Raw genomic sequence first — 13,941 nt, forward strand, 5'->3', positions numbered from 1 at the left:
TTGCTGAGCTAAAGGAACATGTCCTACCCCAGTGCAAAGAAGCTAAGAACGATGATAAGACGTTACAGATGCTGATAACCAGAATAACCAGTTTAAAGAGGAACATAAATTACCTGATGGAGCTGAAAAACACAATTTGAGAACTTCACAATGCAATCACAAGTGTCAATAGCTGAATAGACCAAGTGGAGAAAAGAATCTTAAAGACTATCTTGCTGAAATAAGACAGGCATACAAGGCTAGAGAAAAAAGAATGAAAAGGATCAAGCAAAACCTCTGAGAAATGTGGGATTGCGTAAAAGACTGAACCTATGACTGACTGGGGTACCTGAAAGAGACAGGTAGAATGGGACCAAGTTGGAAAACATACTATAGGATATCATCCAGGATAATTTCCCCAACACAGCAAGACAGGCCAACATTCAAATTCAGGAAATCCAGAGAACCCCATTAAGATACTCCATGAGAAGATGAATCCCAAAACACATAATCATCAGATTCTCCAAAGTCAAAATGAAAGAAAAAAAATGCAGGGGCAGCCAGAGAGAAAGGCCAGGTCACCTACAAAGGGAAGCCCATCAGACTAACAGTGAACCTCTCAGCAGAAACCCTAAAAGCCACAAAATATTGGGTGCCAATACTCAATGTTCTTACAGAAAAGAATTTCCAACCCAGAATTTCACTTCTGGACAAATTAAGCTTCATATGTGAAAGAGAAAGAAAATTCTTTTCAACAAGCAAATGCTGAGGGAATTTGTCACCACCAGGCCTGCCTTGCAAAGCTCCTGAAGGAAGCATTAAATATGCAAAAGGAAAACTATTACCAGCCATTGCAAATGCACACTGACGTTCACAGACCAATGACACTATGAAGCAACTACATAAACAAATGTGCAAAATAACCAGCTAGAATCATGATGACAGGATCAAATTCACACATAACAATATTAACCTTAAATGTATATGGGATAAATGCCCCAATTAAAAGACACAGAATGGCAGGCTGGATAGAGTCAAGACCCACTGGTGTGCTGTATTCAAGAGACCCATCTCACATGCAAAGACACACATAGGCTCAAAATAAAGATATGGAGGAAATTTTATCAAGCAAATGGAAAACAGAAAAAAGCAGGGGTTGCAATCCTAGTTTATGTCAAAATAGACTTTAAACCAACAAAGATCACAAAAGACAAAGAAAAGCATTACATAACGGTAAAGGGTTCAATTCAACAAGATGAGCTAACTATCCTAAATATATATGCACCCAACACAGGAGCACCCAGACTTATAAAACAAATTCTTAGAGACCTACAAAGAGACTTAGACTCCTGCACAATAATAGTAGGAAACTCTAACACCCCACTGTCAATATTAGACAGATCATCAAGACAGAAAATTAATAAGGATATTCAGGACCTGAACTCAGCTCTGGATCAAGTAGACCTGATAAGATATTTACAGAACTGTCTATCCCAAAACAAGAGAATATGCATTCTTCTTGGTGCCACATGACACTTCCTCTAAAATTGGAAATAAATTTCAATAATTGGAAATAATTGGAAATAAAACACTCCTCAGCAAATACAAAAGAACTAAAATCATAACCAACAGTCTCTCAGACCTCAGTCCAATCAAATTAGAATTCAAGATTAAGAAACTCACTCAAAACCATACAACCATATGCACATTGAACAACCTGCTTCTGAATGACTCCGGGGTAAATAATGAAATTAAGGCAGAAATCAAGAAGTTCTTTGAAACTAATGAGAACAAAGAGATAACATACCAGAATCTCTGGGAGGCAGCTAAAGCAGTGTTAACAGGGAAATTTATAGCACTAAATGCCTACATCATAAAGCTAGAAAGATCTGAAATCAACATCTTAACATCATAACTAAAAGAACTAGAGAAACAAGAGCAAACAGACCCCAAAGCTAGCAGAAGACAAGAAATAACTGAGATCAGAGTAGAACTGGAGACAGAGACATGGAAAAACCTTCAAAAATCAATGAATACAGGAGCTGGTTTTTTGAAAAAATTAATAAAATAGATAGACTGCTAGCTAGACTAATACAGTACAAAAAAGAGAAGAATAAACAGACACACTTAGAAATGATAAGGGGATATCACCACTGACCCCACAGAAATGCAAACAACCATCAGAGAATACTATAAACACCTCTATGCAAATAAACTAGAAAAATCTAGAAGAAATGGATAAATTCCTGGATGCATACACCCTCCCAAGATTGAACCATTAAGAAGTTGAATCACTGAATAGACAAATAACAAGTTCTGAAGCTGAGGTAGTAATAAATAGCCTACCAACCAAAAAAAAAAACAAAAAACAAAAAACAAAAAAAACCACAGGACCAGATGGATTTATAGCTGAATTCTACCAGAAGTACAAAGAGGAGCTGATACTATTTCTTCTGAAACTATTCCAACAACTGAAAAGGAGGGACTTCTCTCTAAATCATTCTATGAGGCCAGCATCATCCTCATATGAAAACCAGGCAGAGATACAACAAAAAAAGAAAACTTCAGTCCAATATCCCTGATAAACATCAATGCAAAAATCTTCAATAAAATACTGGCAAACCAAATCCAGCAGCACATCAAAAAGCTTATCCAGCATGATCAAGTTTGCTTCATCCTTGGGATGCAAGGTTGGTTCAACACATGCAAATAAATAAATGTGATTTATCACATAAACAGAACTAAAGACAAAAACTACATTATTAGCTCAACAGATGCAGAAAGGCCTTCAATAAAATTCAGAATCCCTTCATGTTAAAACTTCTTAATAAACTAGGTATTGAAGGAATATACCTCAAAATAATAAGAGCCATTTATGACACACCCACAGCCAATATGACACTGAATGGGCAAAAGCTGAAAGCATTCCTTTTGAAAACCAGCACAAGACAAGGATGCCCTCTCTCACCACTCCAGTTCAAAATAGTATTGGAAGTTATGGCCAGGGCAATCAGGCAAGAGAAAGAAATAAATGGTATTCACATAGGAAGAGAGAAAGTCAAATTATCCTAGTTTGCAGATGATATGATCCTATAGCTAGAAAACCCCATTGTTTCAGTCCCGAAGCTTCTTAAGCTGATAAGGAACTTCAGCAAAGTCTCAGGATACAAATTCAATGTGCAAAAATCACAACCAGTCCTATACACCAACAACAGCCAAGCAAAGAGCCAAATCATGAATGAATTCCCATTCACAGTTGCTGCAAAGAGAATAAAATACCTAGAAATATGACTAACAAGGGAAGTCAAGGACCTCTTCAAGGAGAACTACAAATCACTGCTCAAGTAAATCAGAGGAGACAAAAACAAATGGAAAAACATTCCATGCTCATGGATAGGAAGAATCAATATCATTAAAATGGCAATAATGTCCAAAGTAATTTATAGATTCAATGCTATTACCATGAAAGTACCATTGACATTCTTCATAGAATTAGAAGAAAACTATTTTAAAATTCATATGGAACCAAAATTGGCCATATAGCCAAGACAATCCTAAGCTAAAAGAACAGGGCTGAAGGCATCACATTACCCGACTTCAAACTATACTACAAGGCTACAATAACCAAAGCAGTATAGTACTAGTACAAAAACAGACAAATAGACCAAAGGAACAGAATAGAGAACTCAGAAATAAGACCACACATCTACAATCATCTGATCTTTGAAACCTAGCAAAAACAAGCAATGCGAAAAGAATTTGCTATTTAATAAATGGCTCTGGAAGAACTGGCTAGCCATGTGCAGAAAATTCAAACTGGACCCGTTCTTCACACCTTTTACAAAAATTAACTCAAGATGGATTAAAGACTTGAATGTAAAACCCAAAACTATAAAAATCCTAGATGAAAATCTAGGCAGTACCATTCAGGTCATAGGCACGGGCAAAGATTTCATGGTGAAAACACCAAAAGCAATTGCAACAAAAGCAAACATTGACAAATGGGATCTAATTAAACTAAAGAGCTTCTTCACAGCAAAAGAAACGATCATCAGAGTGAACAGACAACCTACAAAATGGGAGAAAATTTTGCAATCTATCCGTCTGTCAAAGATCTAATATCCAGAGTCTATGAAGAACTTAACTTTACAAGAAAAAAAAAACAAACAACCCCATTAAAAAGTGGACAAAAAACATGAACAGAAATTTCTCAAAAGAAGACATACATGCGGCCAACAGACATGTGATAAAAGCTCAATATCACTGATCATTAGAGAAATGCAAATCAAAACCACAGTGAGATACCATATCATTCCAGTCAGAATGGCGATTACTAAAAAGTCGAAAAACCACAGATGCTGGCAAGGTTGCAGGGAAATAGGAACACTTTAACATCATTGGTTGTTAGTTCAACCATTGTGGAAGACAGTGTGGTGATTCTTCAAATACCTAGAACCAGAAATACCATTTGACCCAGCAATTCCATTACTGGGTATATACCCAAAGGAATATAAATCATTCTGTTATAAAGACACATGCATGCGTATGTTCATTGCAGCACTATTCACAATAGCAAAGACATGGAATCAACCCAAATGCCCATCAATGATAGACTGGATAAAGAAAATATGGTACATATACACCATGGAATACTATGCAGCCATAAAAAGTAACAAAATCATGTCCTTTGCAGGGACATGGATGGAGCTGGAAGCCATTATCCTCAGCAAACAAACTCAGGAACAGAAAACCAAACACTGCATGTTCTCACTTATAAGTGGGAGCCAAATAATGAGAACACATGGACGCATGGAGGGGAACAACACATACTGGGATCTGTCAGGGGTCAGGGGAAAAGGAGGGAGTACATCAGGAAAAATAGCTAATGCAGGCTGGGCTTGACACCTCGATGATGGGTTGATAGGTGCAGCAAACCACCATGGCATGCATTTACCTATGTAACAAACCTGCACATCCTGAATATATACCCCAGAACTTAAAATAAAATTTTAAAAAGAATATGTAGCACCTTTTACACATTGCATACACTCTACACTAAATATTATTGAACATCCCCAGTTACTCTTCTTCTAAATAAAAATATCAGCAACACTTACAGGCTGTAAATGAAGTATTACAATGTTCCTTGAAAAAAAAAGTTCTAAATCCTATGATTAAACAATAATTAAATAACCTGAAATAGTTTCATGGTGTTAAAAAAGAAAAAAAAGGAGCTGATGTGAAGTGTTTATTAGCCAGAATGTAATAAATCTTTTTTAAATTGAGGATGGGGAGGTATGCGTGCATGTGTGTGTTTATCATGGCTATTAAACTTAATTTGGTGCTCACTGAGTTGTAAAATAAATGAAGAATCACTCTACACTCTTTATGTCAGCCAAATGCTGGGAGGCTAAAAATCACTTGAGATCTAGTTGAACAGGTGCACATGGGGGTTTTCTGCCAAAGAGATGGAGCTGCCAGCAACAAAATTCTATTTCTTTCCCCCAGTTCTAGCTAGAGGAACTGTGTTTGTTGATCCTTGACTTCAGCTCAAAAACAAATGTGGGTTTCTTGGGGACTGGTCTGGTGAGATGGATGAGTGAGGGGGCTGAATGACATAGACACACATCACACATACACACAGGTGCAGTCTCCTAGGGATGAATCAGGTGACACCTTACAAGACCTCAGTTCTGCTCCCTTATTTTATCTGTAGAAGAGAGGGCTAGAAGAAAGAAAAAGGAGTATCATTTCCTATAATTTGCTTCAAATAGAGCAGCAAATTGTTAGTCATAGTGGAAGGGCATCCATAAATAAAGCTTTCATGAGTGGTTTGTGGCTTCCTTAAGTGTACACACACGTACAAAAATAGAATATGTATTTTTGTGTTTTTTAAATTTTTGTGTACATACAAAAATATTTCAAAACAGAAGCATGTGTTTATTTTCAGCAAGAAATGAAATATACCTTTGTTTCTTAATTATGCCTAGGGTTGTCAAGTTGTAAAAGGGTAGACTGAAGCTTCAGATCTTATTCAGTCCAGAAGAATGGGCATGTGTCCTAGTTATTGGGAAGAAACTTTTGGTCCAGGGCTTGGTTGCCTTAAGGAGCTTTCCCCACCGAAGACTTAGGAGGTTTCAAGCAGAACCAGAATCAATGTTCTTATTAAAGACACTGAAAGTGATATCTATGTTGTATAATATGAAGGCCACCTTTCCCCAAATATTCAAAGCACCATTGCTTTATTTCTGTTGGTTAATCTCTTTGGATAGGTACACTTCTTCCTTAAATTCCTCTTTTAAAATGCAAATGCCCACAGGAAAACATAATACATCATGGCACAAGTTAGTTTTACAGATCCACTTTCTCCCTCCCTGAGGTCAAATGGAAGAGTGAAATCAAAGTGAGAAAATGTTGACAGAGAAAGGAGATAGGCTATTGGGTCACTCATGTCTCTGCTTCAGTTTGTGTAAGTCTGGCTCAAGGCTATCTAAGCTAGCTGTTAGCTGCCCAACAACTTTGCCCAGTTTTAAAGTTTATTAATAATCATTGAAGCTATTAGTATGCAAACCATCCAGCAAAAGAACTCAACAGATAAATAGCAAAGTCGAGCTATCTCTCCAAGTTTGTTGAATTTCCATCCAGCCCCTTTGTCTCAGTCATTGTCACTCTACTGTAGCTTTCCAAAAGGCTTCCCCACGTTGATTTTCCCCACAACTCCCACACATTTTCACAATGCAGCCAGAGTGATTTGGTTTTCCAAGATGAAAATCTGACCTAGTTAGCTCTCTGCTTAAAACTCTTCAGTGCTTTGTATTGTCCATATAATAGGGTCCAAACTCCTAAATGGCCCACAGGCCTGACAGGGGAAAGCTCCCCCAGCCTCCGCCAGCATGGCATCTCCCTCTTCCACCTGCTTCCCAAGAACTCTCCTTCAAAAGCTCTTTGAAGTCCCCACTTCTTTCTTCACCTACTCATCCTTAAGATCCAAGTCTCACTCCCTCAGAGAATACTTCCTGATTTCTCCAATTAGATCAAAATGAGCTATAAATAGTAAGCATTCTTTGATACTACATTTTTCTCCTTAACGATAACCTCCAAAGTTGAAATTGCCCATTGGTTTTATGTGTTATTTGGTTAATGCCCATCTCCCCAACTATATTGTAAATGGCAAATGAGCAGGAAGAAAGGCTGTTTCATTAACTCTAGATGCCTAATTAGCCTACATTTCCCAGCCTCCTTTTTAGTTAGGTATGGCCATATGCCAGGGTTATGACCAACGGAATGTGGACAGAGGGAATGTGGATCATTTCAAGAACAGACCCATATGAAATTTGCATGTGTAATGCTCCATATTATTTTTTCTTAAATTGACTGGAACATAAAAAAGGATAAAGACTTTGGAAGCCCTGTTTTGAAGACAGGGGTACCAAAAGGCAGAAAAAGCCTGAGTCACAAACAGAAGGACATTTACCCAAACTATTCGGGAATTTTTCATAGATGGAAGCATTGCTCTAATAAAACACAATTCTATTATCCATGGCTAGCATAGTGTCTAAAACATAGTAGATATTCAACAAATGAAAGCATTGGTTCTTGGTATGTGGGAAATTCTTTGTACTTGGTAGAGGCAACTGGGTGTCTGCATTTGATCAGGATTTTGGGGAACAATGCCATTTTTCTATGATTATCTGAAGAAGAATGGAAGATGCATAGCTACCAAGGAGAGACTAAGATTTCACATAACAAAACATGACTGATTCTTGACTGGACACGGTGGCTCACGCCTGTAATCCCAGCACTTTGGGAGGCCAAGCGGGGTGGGGGGGGGGGTGGATCATGAGGTCAGGAGTTCGAGACCAGCCTGGCCAATAAGGTGAAACCACGTTTCTACTAAAAATACAAAACTAAGCCAGGCGTGGTGGCACACACCTGTAGTCCCAGCTGCTTGGGAGGCTGAGGCAGAAGAATCGCTTGAACCCAGGAGGCAGAGGTTGCAGTGAGCTGAGATCACACCACTGCACTCCAGCTTGGGTGACAAAGTGAGACTCCATCTCAAAAAAAAAAGATTGATTCTTAATTTTTTTTATGTACTCAATCAAGGTAATTACATGTGCGCTCAAATTTAATGGCAATCAACCAAGTATTAAAACACTAGTTCAAGTACCCGAGATTTCCATCTGAGCCCGGTTGGAAACTTCTGTGAGACATATCAAAGAAGAATGGAAGCAGATTCTGCAGAGCTGGGCAGACCTGTATGTGACTTAGTCTATTCCAAGTTTGGGCTGTGTCACCTTGAGAAAGACCTATGATCACTTCAAGCTTCAGTTCATCCTCTGTAAAATGAGAACAATAACAAAAAGAGTACTGGATGTAATATGTATAAAGCATTTGTCAGAGAAGGGACATTTTGGGAACTCAAGCTATGGTACTGATGATGATCGTGGTGCCAGTTGACAGCAGCAGCATCTCTGGGAGCCACTGTGAAAATAAATGAGCATTAATGTCTTGGGCTAGAGAGTTGATGAGTCAAATGGTGCAGTTTGGTAGGCTTGTCTGAACTCTTCACTAAAGAGAAGTCACCAGGCTGAGGTCACCTTTTTAAAAGTACTTTTCCATGATGACAAAAGAAATTTTTACTGCATATTTTTAAACATTTGAATATAAAGAGGAAAATAAAATTCTCACTATCAAAAGAAAATTGATATTAAAATTTTAGTGCATCTATGTCAAGACTTTGCATCTCTACTTAGAAATACTTATAAAATATAAACCTGATTGTACATGTGAAATTACAGTTTAATTCTTCAGAAACTGGCCCTGACGCTAGATTTCCTGTATTTTCATTTTAGCCTCACAATCACTGTAGGCAATTTACCGCAGCTTTCTAAATCTGAGTATTTTTTTTTCTGTAAATTGTAGCAAATAATAGTCCCAACTTCATAAGATTGCTAGGTCAATTAAATGATGAAATATATGGAATGTGCTTAGAATACTTTCTGACACAACAAAAGCATTACATAAAGGTTAGCAATAATGATAACTATAATAATTAAGTGATGATAATGATATGTATGTGTTTCTCTGTAGAAATAAATGCAAAAAGGATAACAAAAGATAGCACAGCAGCATTTTATTTTGAACATGGACTTTGATTTCATATTCAAATATATGAATACTTCAATGAGTGAGTTTAAATCTATAGAAAATTACTTGATTCTTTCACAGTTTCAGTTTTGAAGTCTATTCTAGATTTGTTTTACTCTACTTCACCAATTTGGTCTATGTATTCCTGAAACCAGTACCACATCCTTTAAAAGGTTTTTTTGCTTTATTTTGACTACTTGGCTAAGCACATTAATTATTCAGCTTTTCCAAAATATTTTTGGAATTAATATCTTTTCATTATCACAAATAAATTTTAGAATTTTTATATCACATTTTAATCTGTTTTGGTATTTTTTTGTAATTGCACTATCTTTTAGAAGTATTTTGGGAGGAATTATAAACTTTATGATATTGTCTTTTCTTGTAAAACCTGGTTCGTGTCTTCATTTATTCAGTTCTCCTTTGCTGTATGTCTTAAGTTGTGTATTTTTCATTTTTTAAAATAGAACTTATTTCTTCTTTATGTCTAGGTAGTTTTCATTTTTATTGATACTGTGAAGGAAATTTTTTTCTTCTCATTTTGCTTGCTAACTAGTTAATTTTGCTGTAAAAGAAAACAATGGATTTGGGCCAATTGATTTTGTAGCTATAAAAATTACTAAGCTCTTTGACAAGTTTAACAGCTTATTCATCAATGTTCCTGAATTTCTCAGATGAACAATCAGATCATCTACAAATAATAAAAATTGGATTTCCTTTTTAGCAATGATTCATTCATGATTCATATCTGCTATTTTAATTGTACTGGTTGAAATGTCTATTTACAAAGGTAAATTATGGCAGCAATAAGAGGAATCTATATTATTGTCAATTTTCTAATTCTACGGGAGGTACTCCTAGTGCTTTACCATTAAGAAGAATGAATGTCAACATCCTTGGTTTGATGCCAGTGTTTAAAATTAATTTTAAAGGAGTATCCTTCTAATCCTAGCCTAAAGGGTTTACTTTTAAAATATTTTATTTTATCGAGGCATTATGCTGACATTTATCAAATGAATGTTGTTAAACAGTAAAATAACCATATAATTTTGTCTTCTTTGTATCACTGCACGGGAGAATTATATTAATCAGTTTCTTCATATTGAAAATGGTTTACATTCCTGGAATGAACCCTAGTCAATTTGTGTTATCATTATTGTCTTTTCTTACATTTGAATCACTAGCATTTTAAGTAGGTATTTTTCACCATTATTTTAAAACTTAGTGTTACTACTATATGTGTGTGTGTTTAATAACATTTTAGAATCAGAAATGTGTGCAGTGAATAAACTGTAAGGCACCATTGCCCTACTTTTTCTCTGAAAGTTTCAACATGAACACTGTATTGTTGTACTCAATTTATTCTGTGAATTGATCTTTTCAGGATTTCAACCTCTCTTGACAGTGTTTTGGTCAGTTGTAATTGCCTAGACAATCATATTTGTCATTTAGATTATCAAGTTTATTAGCTAAACATTGCTTATTATTATAATTTATTTTAAATCTCTACTTGTTATTCTGCTATTATTTTAAAGTATTCTCTCTTATCTTTTCAAGTAAATCATTTCTCATTATAAATATTGGTTAAATTTTTCACATACAGTATGTCATCTGTTTTTCAAGAATTAGCTTTTGAATATATTCTTCCATTTTAGCCCTTTTAAAATTTCTGTTTCTGACTTTATTATTTCTTGCTTCTACTTTTTTAAGAAAATTTTTAAATAATTTTCTATATTGAATGCCTCTTTATTGAGAAGAAGACAGTCATAAAATTGCCTTTGAGCACATCTTTGATTACACAACATTAATTTCAGTAGGCAGTTTTCTCATCCCCATTTTCTAATGAGTTATATAATTTTTATTTTTCTGATTTGAAATATGTTATTGATTTTCATGTTTATATGCCTAACTTTTGTAGAAATTTGTAGTTTTACTTCAATCTGATGACAAAATATGTTCTTTAAAATTTCTACTTTTGAAATTTATTGATTTTTTTCAAACTACTTTCTTAAGACCAATTTATATGTTTGTAAAAAATATATATCCTTAGCTTTAGAGAGAAAAAACTCATTAACTATTAATTAAATTATCTAAGTAAATGTATTCAAATCCTCTATTCAGAATTATTATTAATTGATCTGAGAAAAAATTGACTAGTATATGAAAATCACTAAATTGTTTTGTTATTTTCTTATAGTTCTAATAGTTTCGCTTTATATATTTTTAATCTGTATTAGACCATCATATTCTTATTGGGAAAGATGTCTTTTCTCAATGATTAGTTATAATTGTATCAGATTCCTTTGATCTTAATAAATATATTTCACTTTAAATTTTTTCTGTTATTAATATTGTTTCCCTTGCTTGCTTGTTGTTGATTTACATTTTCTTAACATATTTTTCCATATTTGTATTCTTAGTCATTCTTTAAGAAGCTTTTATTTCCACATTGGATCTCCTATTAACAAGATACAGTTAGTATCCCACACTCTTAAAGGGATTAGTGTCTGTATCCAGAATAACTAAAAATATCCAATATGGGAAGGACTCTTTGGAGGCTCACGCTAAGCAGTGTATTTATCAACAATTTAATACTGGATATCTCTTATAAACCTGAAAACAAATCAACATTTAATTTTACTTTCTGAAATTAATATTGTGTTATGGTACCTTATATCCTAAATATTTTAAATTTCTATTGGCTTATCTTTCTATCAATGAACAACATTAAGATGATCTGGCTAGCTCTGCTTTGAGTGGTGCTAGGCTGGCAGGGCAGTAAATTTTGAGCTCTTCCTGCTGTCCCTTTGGCAGCCTAGGGTCTCTGAGCTGTCATCTGTCTCTAAGGAAGGCCAGGGCCTCTCCTCCTCCCCAGCTGGGCAAAAAGGGAAATGATATTATCTGAACTAGTCGGAAACTAGACCGGCAGTCTTCTTTCTTGGCACTGCTTTCCTTCCTTAGAAGAGAGGATTGATATCTGAGCCTAGGAGGAAATGTTGGAAGAAATGATATCAAATAGCTTTAGAAAGTAGCATATTCTAATCTCACAGGAAGTTTTATCTTGGGTGAATTACTTAACATCTTTGTATCATATTATTTTCATGTGTAAAATAGGTATAATAAGGTCTACTTAATAGGATTTTTGGAGGTCTTATGTGTGAAAATCTATCAAATTTAATATGGTGACAAGCAATTCATCAGCTATAGATAGGTGTTGTCATCCTTTATATAATGTGTTTATGTTTTGTTCATCTTACCTTCTAATGGTTTTCTCATTTTGACTGTAGAAATTCTTTCTCCCTTGCTTTCTTTTCTTCCTTTCTTTTGTCCTTTTGTTTCTCTATTTTCTTTTTTTCTTTTTTTTGTTGAGATGGAGTCTTGCTCTGTTGCCCAGGCCAGAGTGCAGTGGCGTGATCTCGGCTCATTGCAACTTCCGCCTCCCAGGTTCAAGCAATTCTCCTGCCTCAGCCTCCCAAGTAGCTGGGACTACAGGTGCACACCACCATGCCCAGCTAATTTTAGTATTTTTAGTAGACACGGGGTTTCACCATGTTGGCCAGGATGGTCTCGATCTCTTGACCTCATAATCCACCTGCCTCGGCCTCCCTGTTTCTCTATTTTTAAATGAATCTTTCGTTAGTTCAGAGGAAAGAGCTAAGATTTACAACGTCAGAAAAAAATTTTAAAAAAGAAATATGTATTTCAATCACACCCACAAACTCACAGCTATACACACACTCACATGTTCTCATACTCAACATAACCAAAATAGCATTTCTATGGCTTGGGGTCGATGCAAATCTAAGTTCACTTCTAAGCTTAATCACTTTACATCTATACAATCATTCGCTATTTTTTAATCCTATGAAAAATGCAAATGTGTCCATAATCTCAACTCTGTAATTATAGCTCTGCAGGTTAACTGCTCTGAGTCTGAGTTTCCTCATTTGAAAAACTGGGGTACTAATAACACCTATTTCACATAGATGATGTGAAAATTAAATAAGCAATAAGTAGAAAATTAGCTGTTATCCAGAGGAAGATCAACAAATGATGGCTGTTGTTAAAAAAATAAAAAGCAAAGAGAGTAATTCTTTTTTTAATAAAGCTTTAATGAGGCTTAAGTGACCTACTATGTGTAAGAGGCTTTGCACCGAGTAGGAACTCAACAACATTTAATTCCTGCACTCCCTTTCTTCCTTCTTTGCTTAGTGAAAAAAAGAAAGTTGATGGACACACTCATTGTGGATAATTTATACTATTTTCTGAAGCAGAGTAGACTCAGTCATTTCTTTTATCCAGTGCTAGTAATAATGTTTGGCAGAAAAAGTCTCACTCAAAAATGAAAGAGGTAACTGACTCAACTAAAGACGTGGCATGCAAAATCCTGTTGGTGTCAATCCAGCTAACATTTCTCCCCCAATGGTGGATGCCTAGAATTTCACAGTCTCTTCTCTACTTTTGATTTTGGTACCTCTTAAACCATTACTGCTCCTACAAATACTTCTGAGTAAGTATCCATACCTTCCCTGGAGTATGAGAGTGAAATAGATTTATAAGTAGATTTTTAGAATTAATGTTTAGGGATTTGCATGAGGGAAGGAAGAGAGGAGGAAAGGAATGCTTGTGGCTGCTGAATTTCAGAAGGAAATGGAAGTAGAATCTACAAAAAGGGAAGGGAAACATATTGAAGACAAAAAAACAGTTTCCTACTGCATAAATTTTCCTGGATTTTATCCTTAATCCGAATGCATAAGGAACATCTACCATGCATTTGAGATGTCTGAGTGGGTCTCATCCAAGGGAAAGAAGCAT

This window comes from Homo sapiens, chromosome 20 (assembly GCF_000001405.40).
Source record: "Homo sapiens chromosome 20, GRCh38.p14 Primary Assembly".
Classification (NCBI taxonomy): Eukaryota; Metazoa; Chordata; class Mammalia; order Primates; family Hominidae; genus Homo; species Homo sapiens.